The sequence below is a fragment of the Homo sapiens genome, chromosome 1 (assembly GCF_000001405.40).
Source record: "Homo sapiens chromosome 1, GRCh38.p14 Primary Assembly".
NCBI lineage: Eukaryota > Metazoa > Chordata > Mammalia > Primates > Hominidae > Homo > Homo sapiens.
This window is the reverse complement of record NC_000001.11, coordinates 24,167,504-24,188,632: the sequence shown is the minus strand read 5'-3', so window position 1 is coordinate 24,188,632 and position 21,129 is coordinate 24,167,504. Positions and strand designations below refer to the sequence as shown.

At 46.3% G+C, this 21,129-nt stretch overlaps 1 protein-coding gene across 5 annotated transcripts in view, besides 1 other annotated feature; it reads left to right on the top strand.

Moving 5' to 3' along the window:
- Positions 1,082 to 1,571: a silencer, noted in NCBI's record as "silent region_431". NCBI's record gives its function as "represses an Ori minimal core promoter by ATAC-STARR-seq in GM12878 lymphoblastoid cells {active_cell/tissue: GM12878}" and the evidence as "EXISTENCE:reporter gene assay evidence [ECO:0000049][PMID:35858748]".
- Positions 1,344 to 21,129, top strand: part of IFNLR1 (interferon lambda receptor 1) — a 33,122-nt gene continuing 13,336 nt past the window's right edge. For 3 of the 5 annotated variants that reach the window (NM_173065.3, NM_173064.3, NM_170743.4), the window contains exons 1-3: positions 1,344 to 1,442; positions 7,779 to 7,902; positions 19,032 to 19,216. In NM_173065.3, the coding sequence (NP_775088.1) occupies positions 1,385 to 1,442; positions 7,779 to 7,902; positions 19,032 to 19,216 (367 nt within the window). In that variant the 5' untranslated portion in view covers positions 1,344 to 1,384. The other 2 variants (XM_017000479.2, XM_006710394.5) reach the window with 2 other exon arrangements.

The following is a 21,129-nucleotide window of genomic DNA, read 5'->3' as shown; positions in this document are numbered from 1 at the left end:
CCCCCGCGGTTAAACTCAGAGCAACTTTTGGACCCACCAAGCTCTGTGAAAATCATTTTCTCTTCCAAAAACTGATGGGACCAAAGCTGATCCCAGTTTCAAATAATTATCAAAAAATTGGAAACGAAATATGATCAGAAAAGAAGAAAGTTGAAAAAGAAAATCCTCATCACCCAAAGACAACAACCATTAATATTTTGGTAATTATTATTCCAAATATCTTTCTATGCATACAGACAGACTCACACACACACACACACACACACACACACACTTTTTTTTTTTTTTTTGAAACTGAGTTTCACTCTGTCGCCCAGGCTGGAGTGCAGTGGCGCGATCTCGGCTCACTGCAACCTCCGCCTCCTGGGTTCAAGCGATTCTCCTGCCTCAGCCTCCCTGATAGCTGGGATTACAGGTGAATGCCACCACGCCCGGCTGATTTTCTGTATTTTTAGTAGAGACGGGGTTTCACCATGTTGGCCAGGCTTGTCTCCAACTCCTGACCTCAGGCGATCCACCCGCCTCACCCTCCCAAAGTGCTGGGATTACAGGCGTGAGCCACCGCGCCCGGCTACACACACACTTTTTTAATGGGCCTATGTTTTAGCACTCGCTTTTCTGTTTCTCAGTGTGTTGCAAACACCTCGGTGTCGATACACACCATTCGGCAACGTCCTCCTAAAGGGCCGCATAATATTGCGCGTCGTGGCGTGTGCCTTACTGGGAAGCTACTGCTGTCCAGGTGAACACCACAGCCTTCGGGGTCAGAAAGACAGCTTTCCCCAGAACAAGCACCTGAAGCTCTGGGGCCTGCCGCTCCCCGGGAGAGAAGTACGTGGAGAAGGGCAGCACGGATCCGCCGGGATCCCCGGGGGCATTAAAGGGAATCGCGTGTGTAAGGCGCGGAGCTCAGCATCCGGCTCAGAAACGCGCTCGGATCCCGCCAATGGCATTGAGGCCGCGTAGCCAAACCGGCCTTGAACTCTCCCTAATCCTGCCAAAATGGCCCGTCCTGGAGCACTGGACTGGCCGTGGGTTATTGATCATCAGCCGGTTTCTTCCCCTCCCCTGCCCTTCCCCCGTGCACGGATTTACTGATTTTTTTTTCCGGGAATTGAGTAAAACAAAACTAAGTGCAGATGAAGCAGAGGTACGGGCGAGTTTCGAGCGCGGGGACCGGCGCGCTCCCCCCCCCCCCTCCCCCCGCGGCGGGGCTGTCCCCAGGGACCTTCTCAGTGAATCCTAGGCGGCAGGGACGGGCCCGCGGCTCTGCGGGCCATTGGCTGCCGACTGCGTCACCTGCCCGCGGTGGGCTAGGAGACGGGAGGCGGGAGGCGGGAGGCGGGGACCTGGGCCCGGGCGGGGACGCCGCGGCAGGAAGGCCATGGCGGGGCCCGAGCGCTGGGGCCCCCTGCTCCTGTGCCTGCTGCAGGCCGCTCCAGGTAAGGGCGCGGGGCCGCGGGAGGGAGGGGGAAGAGGGCTCCCCGGGCCGGGCCGCGCCTACCCTCGGACCCGGAGCTCCTGGGACAGGCACGGGGTCCGCAGCCACCCGAGCCGGGTGCGAATCGGCCCTGCCTACGCGCCCCCAGTTTGCTTCTTCCCAGGACTGAACAGAACCGGGTCTTTGATATTCCTCTCCCGCAGGAAACGAATCCAGTTTCCTAATGCTTCCAGCTTCAGGAGAACTGGAGAAAAAAGACAGCGGCAGTTTGATACTGCATATTTTTTAATAAAGTGCTTTTTAATGTTTCCTAAAGAAAGCACTGATCCCTGCGTGAAAACCACACTTGACCCTAAAGTGTGGACAGCAGGGAAAGTGGGACCGATTGATGTCCCTTCCCGTTCCTGCCAGGCCTCTGGTGGGACGGAGCTCTGGTCGCCTGTGCCCTGCTTTCTAACAAGACGGCTTTCTTTTGGTGGTGGTTGTTGTTTTGTTGTTGTTTTGTTGTTGTTGTTGTTGTTGTTGTTTTCCCACCTCTACTGATGAGTAAGGTGTCAGGTACAAAATTCCTCGCCGTAGGACCCAACCACCAAACCTCACCGCCCACGACTCCAACCGAAGCAGGGAAGAGAAGGTCCAGAAATCGCCCCCAGGATATTTTCCTAGTCTTGGACTCACAGTTTAAAGAGCTGTAAAGGTCCCTGGGCATAATCCAATCATCATAAAAGCCTATATTTATTCAGCAACTTCTTTGTGCCAGGCACCGCATTATTCTGGAAGCCTCACGACCCAGCCATCCTCGGAGGTAGATATTATTTTTACTTTTCCGATGGGAAAACTGAGGCTCAGAGCAATTCAGGGAATTCCTCAAGAAGGATGGCAGAGGTGAGGCACACAGAAGAGAGAAGAGGGGCTAAAGCAAGCCTGGCTAGCTTTTGCCTCCAGGGTAGGCACGTGGGACAGGCTGTCCATCCACTGGGTCACTAGGCCAGCCAGGGATGCTCCAGCCCCCAGTGCCCACAGCAGCGTTCTCTGTGGCTGATGAGGGACCGTGTACCTGTGTGTGGAGGGAGGGTGGGGTCTTCTGTTCCCCTTTCACTGTCAAACCCAGACCTTCTTGTACTTTCACCTGATAAGTATTTAATATACACAACACTAACTATGGTGTGATGATTTAGGAGTAAGTACAGCCAGATCTAAGTTCAAATACTGGCTCCCACACAAACTGACTGTGTAGCCTCAGGCAAGTTAGTTAGCATCTGTCTCTGAGCCTAGCGCCCTTTCCATGGAAGCAGAATGAATGACACCTACCCCATAGGGTGGTCTGTCCCAAGGGTGATTGAGGTTTTACATGTAAAGAGCCAAACTAGTGCCTGGCATCCTTTGAAGGCTTCATAGAGGAAAGTTGCTCTAACTGCTGTTTTTCTCATGTGACCTAGCTCGAATCTGGGGACTGTCCTGCCCATAGGATACCTTACAAGTGGCTTGCAGACAGCCTGGTCTCCTGCTGGTCACCCGTTAGGAAGTCCAGAAGCTGGGAGTAGTAATAGCACTAGCCTCGTGGTGATACAGTCCCAGCTAGAGGACACAGGATGAGGTGGAAGCAGGCACCCACTTTTGGGTCTAGAAGGTGATGGGTAGGCAGCCGAGGCTGGGGACAGCCATCCACAGAACTGGACCCTCCCTCCCTGATGCCATTTTGCAACCCGTATGGATTTCCATCATGGCACATGGGACACTTCAGGACCCTGAATTCTCCATGGGACCATGAGCTCCTATAGGGCAGGAATGAAGTTGTGTTCTTCTTTGAAACCCCTGGCACACCGTGGTCAACAGATCTTGTTTGACTCGTAGTGGTCAATAGATGGAATAGTTGGAATCATAAAGCTCAATAGACCCCATGAGAACCTAGAAGACAAAGTACAGTCAAGAGCTCGGACTTTGGAGTTGGCTAGGCCTGGACTGAATCTGATTCTACAACTTAATAGCTGAGAGGGCCTTGGTTTTCCCATCTGTAACGATTATAATTATTATAATGAATACCTACCTCCTAGGGATGTAATGAGGATTAAAAGAGAAAGTGCAGGTAAACTGTTTAGCACAGAACCTGGCTCACAGAACACAATACACATTAGCTGCTATTATTATTATTATTATTTTATTTATTTATTTTGAGACAGAGTCTCACTCTGTCACCCAGGCTGGAGTGCAGTGGCGCAATCTCGGCTCACTGCAACCTCCACCTATCGGGTTCAAGCAATTCTCGTGTCTCAGCCTCCCAAGTAGCTGAGATGACAGGCGTGTGCCACCATGCCCAACTAATTTTTGTATTTTTAGAAGAGACGTGGTTTCACCATGTTGGCCAGGCTGGTCTCAAACTCCTGACCTCAGGTGATTTGCCTACCTCTGCCTCCCAAAATGCTGGGATCACAGGGGTGAGTTACCATGCCCGGCCTTAGCTGCTATTATTATCATCATCGTTATCATCATCATCATCACCTCGTAGATATGTCAAGGAAGATTCCCTGGAGGAAGTGACATTTGAATCAAGTATTTCAAAGACTAGATGGTGAATACCAGGCAGTCAAAGACACCTGGGTTTAAAAACATCCAGAAGAATGCAGTGGCTTGGCAACATCGAGCAGGAAGATTGCCTGATGAGCCTGTAGGGTAGCTGTTGGGGAGAGAGCAGCAAGACGGCCTGGCCAGGCCAGGCCAGGCCACGTCAGGCAGGGCCTCACAAACCTCAATAACAAATGTGGACTTTATTCTGAGGCCAAGGAAAGGGCATGAAACTGGGGAGTGGTGTAATCAGATGCGTATTTCAGAAGATGAAGATTAACAGTGAGAAGGAAAATGTGCCACAGAGGGGAATAGAGGTCAGTTAAAGGGAGTCAGGGAAAGTGTCCTCGAGACAGTGACATCAAAGGAATGTGAAAACAGCAAAGGAGTGAGCCAGGTGGATATCCAGGGGCAGAACTGTTAAGGCAGAGGGAACAGCATGAGGGAACAGCGTGTGCAAAGGCCTGGAGTTGGGAGTGTGGCTGGGGTGCTCCAGGAAGGGCAAAAAGTCCTGTGTGGATGGAGATATGGGAGCAAGGGAGGAGTGGTGGGTCAGATTGGGTAGGGCCTTGGTGGTGATTGTAAAGACTCTGGAGTTTAGACCAGGCACAGTGGCTCAGGCCTGTAATCCCAGCACTTTGAGAGGCCAAGGTGGGCGGATCACCTGAGGTCAGGAGTTCGAGACCAGCCTAGCCAACATGGTGAAACCTCGTCTCAACTAAAAATACAAAAATTAGCCAGGTGTGGTGGCACATGCCTGTAATCCCAGCTACTCTGGAGGCTGAGGCAGGAGAATCGCTTGAACCCGGGAGGTGGAGGTTGCAGTGAGCTGAGATTGTGCCACTGTACTCCAGCCTGGGTGGCAGCATAAGACTCTGCCTCAAAATAAAATAAAAATAATAAAGACTTTTGAGTTTACCTGGAGTGAGATGGAAGCCTTTAGAGGGCTTAAGCAGAAGATGAACATGATCTGATTTTCATTTTTAATCCTTCCTGCTATGTGGAGAATGGACTGAAGGCAAGGTGTTTTGTATATTTGTCTGTTTCGTAGAGACAGGGTCTTGCTCTGTTGGCCAGACTGAAGTGCAGTGGCACAATCACGGCAGCCTTGAACTCCTGGGCTCAGGCGAAACTCCCACCTCAGCCTCCTTACTCTCACCATTGTGCCCTGCTAATTTTTTAAAAAATTTATTTTGTAGAGATGTGGTCTCACTATGTTGCCTAGGCAAGTCTTAAATTCCTGGTCTCAAATGATTCTCCTGCCTCGATGTCCCAAAGTGCTGGGATTACAGGTGTCAGCTGCCATGCCCGACCTGTATTTTTTTTTTTAATGGGGAAAAAGCCTTTTAATAGTATGAGGTGTTTTCTGGTGTTTCTACCATAAAGCTCTTCTGTAAATCAAAATGAGAATGTAATTATTGATAGAGCAATGACCTTAGACTACAGTGCAGACTTTTCATCTTACATTTGGGCTCATGAATTTTAGTATAACTGATTATGACAGTGTTTTTTACATAGTTATGATCTAGAGCAGAACTGAAAACAAAATAACACATACTCTACATCAATATATTCGTTCAGTAATATCTGGGCTTGGATGAACCTGCAGAAGTAGGTAAAGCTGTCAGATATTTTCTTAAACCAACAGAAAAGAAATGTATATGACAGATGTTGTGTTTACTTATTTATTTATTTATTTATTTATTTATTTGAGATGGAGTCTCACTGTGTCACCAGGCTGGAGTACAGTGGTGTGATCTCTGCTCACTGCAACCTCCACCTCCCGGATTCAAGCGATTCTCCTGCCTCAGCCTCCTGAGTAGCTGGGATTACAGGCGTGCACCACCACGCCTGGCTAATTTTTGTGTTTTTAGTAGAGACAGGGTTTCACCATGTTGGTCAGGCTGGTCTCGAACTCCTGACCTCGGGATCTGCCCACATCAGCCTCCCAAAGTACTGGGATTACAGGCATGAGCCACCACGCCCGGCCTGTATTTATTTTTTTACCACTATGGAGTCCAATATGAAATTCTCACAACTATGCAAATACATTATTAACATGTAAGCACACCTAGGTATAAATATGCACATAGTCCATTAATTACATCAGGGGAATTAAAAACATACTTTCAAGTTAAAATGAATTTTCAGGAAAAAAACTGCATTCACAAATCTGAAATGTGAATACAAAAATGAAATTGTGAAATAAATAATGAATATAGGTGTCACCTAAACTTCCATAGTAACATGCCTCCAAATGTGGATTTAGTGATCATCCACCTTGGGACAAGGGCTTTTGATCGCCTCCAGCTAAATTAGGGTTCCAGTAGCAGAGTGGCTGGCAAGCCTGCCCTAATGAATAATGCCAGCGAACTGGGCGTGGGTACTTACAGTGTGCCCTTCATGGAACACTTTTTTTTTTTTTTTTTTGGAATGGAGTCTCGCCCTGTTGCCCAGGCTGGAATGCAGTGGCACAATCTCAGCTCACTGCAACCTCGTCCTCCTGGGTTCAAGCAATTCTCGTGCCTCAGCCTCCCAGGTAGCTGAGATTACAGCCCTGTGCCATCATGTTCTGCTAATTTTTGCATTTTTAGTAGAGACGAGGTTTCACCAAGTTGGCCAAGACTGGTCTTGAATTCCTGACCTCAGGTGATCTGCCCACCTTGACCTCCCAAAGTGCTGGGATTACAGGCTTGAGCCACTGCGCCCGGCCCATGAAATACTTCTTACCTGGCGGACAGCCTAATAGCCTAGCTGTCTAACCCATGGCTGGGGGTCCTTCACACTTGTTTATACTGGCAGACGTCCCTGTGACTCTTGTCTGATCCATGTCCAAGTTTATGCCTGTCTGACCATTGCTCTGGCGCTGGGAGCCAGACTGTGTTCCCAGCAACCCAGGGAAAACCAGGCCTGGGCTGGGCCTGGGTTCCTGAGATGGAAGGTGCAAATTCAGTACACCACCTCAATGCAAAACAAGTTCAAAGGCTTATTACTTACAGATCCTGAGCAGGGAAGGTGCAATGAGTAGGGAGGGTCATCCTCCATCCTGGGCTACATGAAGCGGGAATGAAGAGTCAGGCAAAAAGAAAGTGAGAGCTTGTGGCAATGAGAAGTATATTATGTAAGGGACTAGGGTGTGGGTCAGGTTAAGTTTGAGGGCAAATGCTTGAATGATCCCTTTAAAGGAATGGGTGGGAAGTGGGGAGCCCAGTTTGCCGGGAGGGAGAGATGCCTCGAAGTTCTTATCTCTGGCCACTGGCTTGGACCATCTGAGTGTGGCATCTACTTCTAATGCCTAGGCAGCAACCTTTGCTGTGTCATCTCCCTTACACAAGGTTGGAAGCAAGGAGACCGGTCAGGAAGCCTTTGGTGTAACCCATGTTATTGTAATATTCATTCATTTACTCAACAGATGTTTATTGTGCACCTACTATGTGCTGAGGCCATGGCAGGCAGGCTCTGGGGATGTGGCTGAGAACAGGACAGAGCCCCTGGTCCTTGATATCCTCAAGGATGCTCCCTCCTGGAGGCCATTAGGTTCCTGTTCCATGGTGTTCTGCTGGAACCCTCCGGTCCCAGAGTGTGCAGGAGCCTCCCCTCCTGGCAAAGGGTCTTCTCTCATGGCACAAGGGCTGCAGTACAGCCAGTCAGTGGCTCCTGGTTCCTCAAACTCAGTGAGCACCTGCTTGCCCTTCGTGCTGCCCCTCAGCTTGGGATGGCCTGAGTCAAGACCAGCCAGGAGCTCCAGGCTTCATGACCCCTTTCTTTCCCCCAGGGAGGCCCCGTCTGGCCCCTCCCCAGAATGTGACGCTGCTCTCCCAGAACTTCAGCGTGTACCTGACATGGCTCCCAGGGCTTGGCAACCCCCAGGATGTGACCTATTTTGTGGCCTATCAGAGGTAGAGGGGACTCTCTCGGCTGGTGGATGGGAAGACTGAGGGGGTGGGTGGGGGCTGGAGGGGCTTCTCTGGGACAGCTGCACCCAGTGTGGGCAGCACTGGCTAGCTCTCTGGGCCCTACGGGAGATGGCATGTGGCCGGCATTTGGAGAGGGGCTTTTGATAAAGGTCTGGAGGTGGGGAAGATGTTGAATGAAGAGCAGTGTACAGGTGACCAGTCTGCCGGGGCGGGGGTAAGTCTTTGAGGAAAGTTGGTGTGGGGCATGGATGTAGCTGTGGGGGCCAGAGGATGAAATTCTCAAGTGGCTGGATGAGGTGCTTGGAGCTGTCCCAGCTGATCAGTGAGGCAACTAGGTACACAGCAGAGGAGCTGTTACCTGGGCAATTAGGCATCCCTCAATGATCACACTTTTTTTCTCTTTTTTTTTTTTTTTTGAGACAGAGTCTTGGTCTGTCACCCAAGCTGGAGTGCAGTGGCTTGATCTCGGCTCACTGCAACCTCCACCTCCTGGGTTCAAGTGATTCTCCTGCCTCAGCCTCCAGAGTAGCTGGGATTACAGGCATATGCCACCACATCTGGCTAATTTTTGTATTTTTAATACAGACGAGGTTTCTCCATGTTGCCCACGCTGGTCTCGAACTCCTGAGCTCAGGTGATCCACCCACCTCAGCCTCCCAAAGTGTTGGGATTACAGGCGTAAGCCACCGCGCTTGGCCAAATGGTCACACTTTTCCCGATGGGATCATTCTCAATTTGGAAGCCCAGGCAGCCACAGCGAATCCAGAGAAATCTGACAATGGAAGCAGATCCACCATCTTCGAACATAGATGGGAATCGTTCAGAGTTCTTTAGCAGGACAGTGAGATGATAGAAGCAGAAGCTCGGGAGGATTCACCTGGAGTTGGTGAGGAGGGGAAAGCAGGAAGAGGAGGGGACCACCGTGTCCTCAGGACCCGTCCTGTGCCAGGCCAAGTGCTAAGGGCCCTACGTGAATATTTCACTTCCTTCTCCCAATGTGACCAGGCAGGCTCTGTGTTTTCCCCATTCTAGAGGTGAGGGGATTGAGCTCAGAGGGTGCTGTGTCTTGTCTGAGGAAGGACGTCATGGAGCCAGAAGGGGAACTCGGGTCCGACTCCAACATTTGTGCCCTTCCTGTTGCATCACGTCATCCTTCCATGTGTGGAATCCACATGTGAGTGATGGGAGCCTGGCTTGAGCAGGGACAGACTGCAAGAGAGCTTTCAAAAGCAAGAGCGTTATCAGGTGCCAGAAAACACCTAATATTTACTGTGTGGCTGGCACTGTGTCAACACATGTAATGAACTTAATCTCACAGCAGCTCTCTGAGGACAAGTTCAGTACGCCTCTTTACAGAGGAGGAGACTGAAGCACCAAGGGTGCATGTTGCTCAAAGTCACACAGCTGGGCGTAGTATGGCTGGAATAAATTTATTAAGGAGTTGAAAGTCTATCCTCTAGGACCAAGCATGGTGGCTTACATCTGTAATCCCAGCACTTTGGGAGGCCGAGGTGGGTGGGGAGATTGCTTGAGTCCAAGAGTTCGAGACCAGCCTGGGTAACATGGTGAAACCCTGTCTCTACAAAAAAAAAAAATACAAAAAATTAGTGAAGTGTAGTAGCATGTGCCTGTGTTCCCAGCTACTTGGGAGGCTGAGGTGGGGAGGATCACTTGAGCCCAGGAGATGGAGGTTGCAGTGAGCTGAGATCACACCACTGCACTCCAACCTGAACAACAGAGCAAGATCCTAAAAAGAAAGAAAGTCTATCCTCTGAACTTCTATGATATTTTTCATGTCTTTTATACATTAGAATGGTGATATTCTAATTATATAATTTTTTTCATTTGTTAGTTGGAATTATTTTATAAAGAGATGTATCCTCTCATCTGGTATTTGATATCCAGTCATACTATTCAAATAGGCAAGAGAGGATAAATGCTTAATTTTTTTCCTTTATCAATTTTCAAGATAATGAATTGGTTCCTTATCATCTCCCAAAGGTGATTGCTAGTTTATTATTATCATTATGAACTCAGGCATTTAAACACATTTGGTGGTTTCAGTCTATTGCGACGTACTCTGCTCATTGAAGCTTGAATTGCCTCATCTCTGTCCAGTGGGAGTCTCATCAAGTTTGCTCCTGAGTCCTTTTAACTTGACCCTAGTGGTCAAGTTAAATCTTTCCAGATTTAACAGATACCTTTCCAGCTGTCCATTACGACAAGATGTTCCAGGTCCCTCTGGTACAATTCCTGACCTAAAACCTGCAGTCAGCCATTTCTCCATTTAGTAAGAAATGGTTATAAAGACTATAATCTGCATGCTAGCTATGCTGATCACTACTTAGCTATTGCTTTTGGTGTTTTCAGTGAACAGAGTGATGTGTGTATACCACATAGACACACACATGTACATACTTTTTTTTTTTAGACAGAGCTTCACTCTGTCACCCAGGCCAGAGTGCAGTGGCATGATCTCGGCTCACTGCAACCTCCACCTCCTGGGTTCAAGAGATTATCCTGCCTCAGCCTACTAAGTAGTTGGGATTACAGGCGCCCACCACCATACCCGGCTAATTTTTGTATTTTTAGTAGAGACGGGGTTTCACCATGTTGGCCAGGCTGGTGTCGAACTCCTGACCTCAAGTGATCTGCCCCCCTCGGCCTCCCAAAATGCTGGGATTACAGGCATGAGCCATCGCACCCAGCCTACATGTACATAATTTTTAAGATAAAATGCCTAATGAGTTATACGGGTGCTTCCCATCTAAATTTAGTTCCTTAGGATTTTTACCTGACTTCTATGGTACATCTATATTTTCTTTCTTTCACACTGAGAATCCTGTTTCTCAAGGACAGGGGACATGATAGAACTAGAATGACCCATAATTACTCATTTTCTTTATCCCAAAACATACATACTTGCCTCTTAATAGTTTCTTGCTCTTTTCGCCCAAAGGGTTTGTGATGGTCAATATTAGGTGTCAACTTAATTGGGTTGAAGGATGCCTAGATGGCTGTTAAAGTTTTGTTTCTGGGGGTGTCTGTGAGGGTGTTGCCAGAGGAGACTGACATTTGAGTCAGTGGACTGGGAATGGAAGACTCGTCCTCACTCAGTGTGGGTGGGCACAACCCAACTGGCTGCCAGGCTGGCTGGAAAGCAGGTGGCAGATGGTGGGATAGCTTCACTTGCTGGGTCTTCCAGCTTCCTTCTTTCTCCCGTGCGGGATGCTTCCTTCTGCTCCTCCTGCCCTTGAACATCACACTCCGGGTTTTTTGGCCTTTAGACTCTTGGACTTAAGTTAGTGGTTTGCTGGGGGCTCTCGGATCTTTGGTCACAGACTGAAGGCTGCACTTTCAGCTTCCCTGGTTTTGAGGGTTTCAGATTCGGACTGAGTCACTATGGCTTCTTTCTTTCCCACCTTGCTGACGGCCTATCGTGGGACTTCGCCTTGTGATCGTGTGAGCCAATTCTCCTTAATAAACTCCCTTTCATATATACGTATAACCTATTAGTTCTGTTCCTCTGGAGAACCCTGACTAATAAAGGGTTGTTGCTTTTTCTTTAAAATCTAGTAATTTTATTTGACTGTGTGTTGGTATTGCTCATTCATTCTGAGTTGATATTTTTAGGCACTCAATATTCTCACTTAATACATGGTTCCAAGGCATTTTTATTTTAGGAAGGTTTTCTTAAATTATAGTTTTAGTATTTGTTCTATTCTCTTGTTTTGATTTTCTTCTTTAGGGACTCATATCACTTGTATGTTGGATCTTCTTTTTCTGTGTTCAGTATTTGTCTTTTGGGCACAGAGACTCACACCTATAATTCCAAGACTTTGTGAGGCATAGGTAGGAGGATCGCTTGAGCCCAAGAGTTTGAGACCAGCCTGGGCAACATGGTGAGGCCCTGTCTCAAATTAAAGAAAAAGGAGAGAATACTTGTCTTTTTCTTTCAAATGCCTTTTATCTGTCTATCTATCTACTATTCTGCTCTCTAAATGAAATAGGTTTCACTCTTGAGTTTTTAAAAAACTGTATGCTTCCATGTGTGAGATTATTCAACATCTTATTTGTAATCTTTCTCTTGGTTACATTTATTTTTCCTGAAACTCTAGTCTGCTTTTAGCTGACATGTTTGTAGCTAAGAGCGCACATTTCTTATCATAGCTTGCCGTGCTGAATTAATTCCAATTTTCTTTTAAAACCAACATTATTGAGTTAAAATGTATATAGAATAAACTGTTCCCATTTTAAAGTATACAATTTGATGAGTTTTGACAAAAGTGGGCACCCACGTACCCACCACCACAATCAAGATGTAAGACGTTCTCTATCACCCCAGAAAGTTCCCTCATCCACTTTGCATTCAGGCCTCCAGATCTAGGCAACCACAGATCTGCTTTCTGACACTGTGGATTAAACTTTGCCTGTTCCAGAATTTCATATAAATGGATGTGTATAGTATGTACCCTTTCGTGTCTGGCTCCTTTCCCTCAGCATAATGTTTCTGAAATTCACCCACATTGTTACATGTATCAGTAGTTAATTCCTTTTTATTGCTGAGTAGTAATGCCATTGTATGACTATGTATGACATTTGTTAATCCATTTTCCCGTCAGTGGATATTTGGGTTGCTTCCAGTTCTGGGCAGGTATTCATTTGCTAGGGCTGCCATATGCTTGCCCTCTGGCCTCCCAAAATTTGTGTCCTTTTCATATGCAAAATACATTCACCCCCTCCCAACAGCCCCAAAACTCTCTTTTTTTTTTTTTTTTGAAACAGAGTTTTGCTCTTGTTGCCCAAGCTGGAGTGCAATGGTGTGATCTCGGCTCACTGCAACCTCTGCCTCCCGGGTTCAAGAGATTCTCCTGCCTCAGCCTCCTGAGTAGCTGGGATTACAGGCATGCGCCACCACGCCTGGCTAATTTTTTATATTTTTAGTAGAAATGGGGTTTCACCGTGTTAGCCAGGCTGGTCTTGAACTCCTGACCTCAGGTGATCCGCCTGCCTTGGCCTCCCAAAGGGCTGGGATTACAGGCATGAGCTACTGCACCTGGCTAGCCCCAAAACTCTTAACCCATTTCAGCATCTACTCTAAGTCCAAAGTCTCATCTAAATCAGGTATGGGTGTGACTGGAGGTGTTACTCATCCTGAGGCCAAATTCCTCTCCACTTATGAACCTGTGAAACCAGACAGGTTATGTGCTTTGAAAATAAAGTGATGGGACATGCATGGGATAGACTTTCCCATTCCAAAAGAGAAAAATAGGAAAGAAGGAAAGAGTGACAGGTCCCAAGCAAGTCTAAAACCTCGCAGGGCAAATTCCATTAGATTTTAAGTTTCAAGAATAGCCCTCTTTGGCTCAGTGCTCTGCCCTTTGGGCCCACTGGGGCGGCAGCCCTATCCCCTTTGCCCTGGGTGGTGACCCTACCCTCGAGTCACTGGTTAGCAGCAGCCTAGCCTGCTGAAACTAAGGAGGGGACAGTGTTGCCTCCAGGTCTTTGGTGGCAGTGACAACCCTGCTGATCTCTGAATCATCTTCCAGGAAATTTTTCCCTATACTTGAAGGATATTGCGTGTTCACAGCCAAATAGCTCCAGCTCTTGTCCCTTTCTTTAGAATCCCAGAAGTCCAACAGCCTTCCTTCATTCTGTCCCATCTCTGTCCCCTTTAGTCAAAGCTGGAAGTGCCTCTGCTGGTATAATCCCATCAGTATGTCTAATTTCTGCTTAAATGGCTGATTAAGTCTATGAGTTGCACCTCTGATCTCTTTATCAAAAGGTTGTTCTAGCCACAACCTTAGTGTCCTCCCCAGAACATGCTTTCTCATTTTTTTTTTTGCAATGTGGATAGGCTGAAAATTTTCCAAAGCTTCAAGTTCTAGTTCCTTTTGGCTTACCAATTCTTTTCATATATCTCTTCTCTCACATTTTACTATAAGCAGTAAGAAGAAACCAGGTTGTACCTTCAGCACTTTGCTTAGAAATCTCTTCTGCTAAGCATCCAAGTTTATGTCTTTTAAATTATCTTTTTGTTATTTATTTTATATTATCATTTTTGAGATGGCTAGCCAATGAACTTTTAACTTCTAATTTCTGCAAAACACTAGAAGACAATTCAACCAGTTCTTTGCCACTTTATAACAAGGATCACCTTTCCTCCAGTTTCCAATAACACATTCCTCTTTTCCACCTGAGACCTCACCAGAATCACCTTTAATGTCTATATTCCTACCAATAGTCTTTTTAAGGCAATATAGGCTTTCTCTAACATGCACTTCAAACTTCAAGATTCTACCCATTATGCAATTCCAAAGCCACTTCCACATTTTTAGGTATTGATTACCTCAGCACCTCATTTCTGGTGCCCAAATCTGCACTGGTTTGCTAGGGCTGCCATAACAAAGTACGACAGTCTGGGTAAACAACAGAATTTTATTTTCTCAAAATTCTGGAGGTTGGAAGTCCAAGGTCAAGGCGTTGCTAGGTTTAGTTTCTCCTGAAGCCTCTCTCCTTGGCTAGCAGATGGCTGCCTTCTTGCTGTGTCCTCACGTGGCTTTTTCTCTGTGTGTGTTCACTCTGGTATCTCTTCCTCTTCTTACAAGTACACCAGTCCTACTGGATTAGGGCCCCAGCCTTATTACTTCATTTAACCATAATTACCTCTTTAAAGCTCTTATCTCAAAACACAATACCACTGGGGATGAGGTCTTCAACATATGAATTTTGGGGGAACTCAATTCGTCCATAATAGGGCTATTATGAATTAAGCTGCTGTGAACATTCATGTACAAGTCTTTGTGTGGATATGTTTTCATTTCTCTTAGATAAAGATCTAGGAGTATCAGCCTGGGCAACATAGTGAGACCCCATCTTTACAAAAAATTTTCAAAATTAGCCAGGCATGGTGGCGTACACCTGTAGCCCTGCCATCTCAGGAGGCTGAGGTGGGAGGATCCCTTGAGCCCAGGGGTTTTAGACTGCAGTGAACTATGATTGCACCACTGCACCCCAGCCTGGGTGACAGAGTGAGACTCTGTCTCTAAAAAAAAGAGAGAGAGGGGAGGAAGGAAAGAAGAAAGAGAGGGAGGGAAGGAGGGAGGGAGGGAGGGAGAAGAAAAATGGATCTAGGGTTAAGATTTAGGAGATTAGGTAATGAATGTGTACTATTACAGGGAACTGTCGAGCTGTTTCCAAAGTGACTGTACCATTGTTCATTGCCACCAACAATACATGAGAGTTCTAGTTACTCCATGTGCTTGTTACACTTAGTATTATCAGTCTTTTTCATTTTAACCATTCTAGTGAGTATGTAGTAGTATTTTATTATGGCTTTAATTTACAACTCCCTAATGATGAATGATGTTGAACATCTTTTCATGTGCTTATTGGCCATTCATATATCTTTTGTGAAGTGACTATTCAAATATTTTTCCACTTTTTATTAGGTCATTTATTTTCTTATTATTGAGTTATCTATGAATACAAATCCTTTATCAGTGTATGTATTGTGATTTTTTTCCCCAGTGGCTGGCCTTTTCATTTTCGTTAGGCTTTTTTGGTGGGTTTTTTTTTTTTTTTTGGAAGAGAAAAATATTTTAATTTGATAAAATCCAGTATATCAGGTGTTATAGACTGAATTATACTCTACCCCACAAATTCATATGTTGAAGCCCTAACCTCTAAGTGACTATTTGGAGATGAGCCTTTAAGGAGGTAATTAAAGTAAAATGAGATCATAAGGGTGGGCCCTAATCTAATAGGACTGGTGTCTTTATAAGAAGAGGAAGACACCAAGAGCGCATGCACACAGAAGAACGGCCTTGTGAGGACACAGCAAGATGACGGCCATCTGCAAGCCAAGGAGAGAGGCCTCAGTAGAAACCAAACCTGCTGATGCCTTGATCTTGGACTTCCAGCCTCCAGATTTCTGTTGCTGAAGCCACCCTGCCTGTGGTGTCTTACCATGGCAGCCCTCACAGACTAATATATCAGATTTTTTTCCTTCAACAGTTAACGCTTTTGGTGTCCTAAGCAATATTCGCCTGACCCAGGGTCATGAAGATTTTTCTTCTATGCTTTCTTCTGGAAGTTCTATAATTTTAGCTTTTACATATTTTTTTAACTTTCCTTCTTCTTGCCTTCTGTTTCTTTTAAGGCATCATCTATTGTGTTAATTTGTTCTTGTATTCCTTCTGATTTATTCTTCACTTCTGAAATGAATTTTGCTTTTTAAAAATATATATAATTCTTTTCTGTGTCTGAGTTTTTCTAATTAGGTTTTATGTGGTTTTTTCTTGTCCTGCATCACTTTTTACTGTCTTTTGCCCATTTTGAAGTATCAGGTTCCAGTTTTGATCTGTTCATGGATATGTTTTTGTGACATGTTTCTTCTGGCTTCTTATCATTTATTGCTTAGCTTATTAATTTCTATTCTTTCTTATTTTCTATTATAAGTATTTAAAGCTATATGTTTTCCTCTAAGTATTACTTAGCTGTCTTATACGTTTTCATTTGTGTTATTTGGTGATCATTCACTTTCAGCTATTTATTAATTTCCATTATAATTCTTTCATCTATGGGTTGTTTTAAAAAATATTTTTAAGGCCAGGTGTGGTGACTCACATCTGTAATCACAGCACTTAGGGAGGCTGAGGTGGGAGGATTGCTTGAGGCCAGAAGTTTGAGACCGGCCTAGGCAACAAAGTGAGACCCCCTCTCTACAGAATATTTTTTTAAAATTAGCTGGGCCAGGAGTGGTGGCTCATCCCAGCACCTGTAATACCAGCACTTTGGGAGGCCAAGGCAGATGGATCACCTGAGGTCAGGAGTTTGAGACCAGCCTGGGCAACATGGTAAAACCCCATCTCTACTAAAATATAAAAATTAGCCAGGTGTGGTGATAGGTGCCTGTAATCCCAGCTACTTGGGAGGCTGAGGCAGGAGAATTCTTTGAACCCAGGAGGAGGAGTTTGCAGTGAGCCGAGATTGCACCACTGCACTCCAGCCTGGATGACAGAGCGAGACTCTGTCTCAAAAAAAAAAAGAAAAGAAAATTAGCTGGGTGTAGTGGCAGGTACCTGTGGTCCCAGTGACTCAGAGACTGAGGCAGGAGGATCACCTGAGCCCAGGAGTAGAGGCTGCAGTGAGCTATGTTTGTGCCACTGCACTCCAGCCTGTGCAACAGAGCAAGACGCTGTCTCAAAAAATATATATTTTTTTAAATTTTCAAACTTCCTTTAGTTCTCTTTTTGTTATTAACTTTTAACTGAATGTTTTGCAATCAGAAGAAATACTTTATGAGATACCTATTCTTTAAAATTTCTTAAGAATTGCTTTGTGTTAATATTTTGTTAATAGTTCACATGTGGTTCAACCAATTTGTTTAGTTAGTTCTGTATATGTTCATTAGACCAACTTGATAACTGTGTTGTTCTTTATTTATTTATGTATTTATTTTTCTTTGTCTATTCATCAATTGCTGGGTGAGATGTATTAAAATTTCTTGTTGTAAGTGTGGCTGTTCACTTTCTACCTGTAGTTTGTCTGTTTGCTTTATAGAGGGTGAAGTTGTTTAGTAGGCACACATAAGTTAGAATTTTTCTGTCTTCCTGGTGAATGGAATCATTTATCATTATCTAATGTTCTTTTCATCTTTAGTATTGCTTTGGACTTGGAAGTCTGTATTTTGTCTCCTGTTAATATAACTACACTGGTTCCTTTGGTGTGAATATTTGCATAGTATAACATTTTCCATGAAGAAACAAAACAGAGGAATTGGTTCTTTCTCAAAATCTGATCTTTGTGTCAGCCCCCATCTCAGCCTTCTCCATTCATCCTTGGTCACTCCCCAAACCCAGGAGCAATCCTTGATTCTCCTTTTCCCCACATTCTACATCCAATCCGTTAGCAAGTTCTATTAGTTCTATTATTACCTCCAAAATAGATATTGAATCCAGCCCTTTCTCACTGTCTCCACCATCATCCTGTCTCACATCCCTACCATGGCCTCCTTGCTGGTTGACCAGAGTGATCTTGTAAAAACATGTTAGGCCAGGCACGGTGGCTCCTGCCTGTAATCCCAACACTTTGGGAGGCCAAGCGGGTGGGTCACCTGAGGTCAGGAGTTGGAGACCAGCCTGGCCGACATGGTGAAACCCTGTCTCTACTAAAAATACAAAATTAGCCAGGTGTGGTTACGCTGGCCTGTAATCCCATCTACTCGGGAGGCTGAGGCAGGAGAATCACTTGAACCCAGGAGGCGGAGGTTGCAGTGAGCCAAGATCATGCCACTGCACCCCAGCCTGGGCAACAGAACAAGACTCCATCTCAAAAAATAAAAATTAAAATAAAATGTTAGGCTCCCTGGGTCTCTGGCTTAGTCCATTTGTACTGCTTTAACAAAATACCTTAGAATGGTGTAATTCTAATAATTGCTATTAATAAATAATAGCAATTAATAAATAATAGCAATTTCCTTCTCACAGTTCTAGAGGCTGGGAAGTTCAGGGTCAAGGTGGCACCTGACTCCGTTCTGGTAAGGGCGGCTCTCTGCTTCCAAGATGGTGCCTTCTCGCTGCGTCTTCGCATAGCGGAAGGGCAAACACTGTGTCCTCACGTGGCAGAAGAGATAGAAGGGCCAGGCAGCTCTCTGAAGTATCCAGGTTGGAGTCATGGACCTGCATGTTCCCCTCTGACATCCACAGAGTACCTATCATGGTCCTTGGCATGCAGCAGGTGGCCCATAAACGCCTGAATGAACAAACATATAGTAATGGTCGCTAGTACTAGGAATAGCAGCCACCGCAACAGTCCTGTGAGGGAGGCATTACAGATGAGGAAACTGAGGTTTAGGGGCAAGGACCTGCCCATGGTCCCAAAGCTAGGGAGGGACAGGGCTGGGATTCCCACTCCCATCCATCTGGCTCCAGAACCTGAGCTCCTGACCAGGCTGTTCTTATCCTGTCTCAGCCAGTGGCTGCCTGTCTGGACGGATGGACCTAAAGTCAGTCCAGCCAAACAGAGGGAAGCATGATCAACTGTTCTCTAAGTTCCCTGACCCGGAGAGGCTGAGTCCATGGCCCAAGCTCTCCTCTCTCCTCCCCCAGCTCTCCCACCCGTAGACGGTGGCGCGAAGTGGAAGAGTGTGCGGGAACCAAGGAGCTGCTATGTTCTATGATGTGCCTGAAGAAACAGGACCTGTACAACAAGTTCAAGGGACGCGTGCGGACGGTTTCTCCCAGCTCCAAGTCCCCCTGGGTGGAGTCCGAATACCTGGATTACCTTTTTGAAGGTAGGTCTGTGGGTAAGGGACTGAGTGGAAGGCTGTCCATCCCATCGGGGAGCTGTGCTCAGTGCTCAGTGGTTCTGTTCTCCTGACCATCTGTCTCCCACTTCCCCAAAGCAGAGGGCAGCTCCCTGGGCCAGGCCCTTTGAGATGGGGTGTGGGACCAGCAACAGCGAGGGACCATGTCTGGCAGCCTGTCAGGGAGTTAGGGGAGCTCCAGCCAGCACCAGCAATCTCACGTGCACCCTCTGCTAACAATGTTCATTATTTTCAGTTGAGCACCATTTTGGTCATGGACTACACAAGGCACTTTATATGCTTATTCCTATTTTTTATGTTCAGCTTCTCTCCTTAAAAACAATGTTTAAAACCAATTCTGGGCCAGGCGTGGTGGCTCACGCCTGTAATCCCAGCACTTTGGGAGGCCAAGGCAGGTGGATCACCTGAGGTCAGGAGTTTGAGACCACCCTGGCCAACATGGCAAAACCCCGTCTTTACTAAAAATACAAAAATTAGCCAGGCTTGGTGGCAGGCACCTGTAATCCCAGCTACTCGGGAGGCTGAGGCAGGAGAATCGCTTGAACCCAGGAGGCGGAGGTTGCAGTGAGCCAAGATCACGCCCCTGCACTCCAGCCTGGGCGACAGAGCGTCTCAAAAGAAAAAAATTAATAAACAAAGAAAAAAAAACAAATTCTGTTTGCAAAAGTATTTTCTATACACTGTAGAAATTTGTGGGGGGTGGGGGGGTAAAGATGATAGAAAAAAAAATGTCCCATGCTTACTGGCAGAAATCATGTATTGACATTGGGTGAGGAGGGCACTTTTTTTTTTTCAGTCTATTTTTAATCTTCACAGCAAACTTGTGAGGTTCATTTCCATCAACCTGAGACTCACAGAAGCTAAGAAACTTGATACCGCTAGTAACCAGTGGACTTGATACCGCTAGTAACCGGTGGACATAGATGTGAACTGGATCTTTCTGACCTCGGGCAGGGCCGGGTAACAAAGGGAGGATAAATGCCCAGACAGTGTCCTCAGAGAGCTGAGAGCTGTAACTTGCTGCCCGGGCTTCTCACAGTGTTCAAGGACAAAATAAGGCTTTAAGAGAGAAGAGGGACAGACTGATTGCAGGGCAGCAGGAAGAGATGGTAGAGAAGGAAGAAGAGATGATTCGTGTGGAAAGAAGCTGGCTCGGTGGATGGATAAAAGAAGGGAAGGACAGATGGGTAAGAAGAAAGGGAGGATGGAGGGGATGGAGGAGGAAGCAATGGAAAAATGGGAAGGAAGGAGGTTGGATGGAAGGATAGATGCCTATTAGGAAGGAAATATGTGTGGATAGAGAGATGGAGGATAGGAAGTATGTTAGTCAAGGTTCTCCAGAGAAACTGAACCAATAGGATATATACAGATACACTAAGAGGAGGCCAGCCGGGCGCGGTGGCTCAAGCTTGTAATCCCAGCACTTTAGGAGGCCGAGGCGGGCGGATCACGAGGTCAGGAGATCAAGACCATCCTGGCTAACACAGTGAAACCCCGACTCTACTAAAAATACAAAAAAAAATTAGTTGGGCGTGATGATGTGCGCCTGTAGTCCCAGCTGCTGGGGAGGCTAAGGCAGGAGGATGGCGTGAACCCAGGAGGCAGAGCTTGCAGTGAGCTGAGATCGTGCCACTGCACTTCAGCCTGGGTGACAGAGCAAGACTCCGTCTCAAAATAAATAAATAAATAAATAAAAAGAGGCCAGCCATGGTGGCTCACACCTGTAATCTGAGCACTTTGGGAGGCCGAGGCGGATGGATCATTTGAGATCAGGAGTTCAAGACCAGCCTGGCCAACATGGTGAAACCCTGTCTCTACTAAAAATACAAAAGTTACCCGTGTGTGGTGGCACACACCTGTAGTCCCAGCTACTCAGGAGG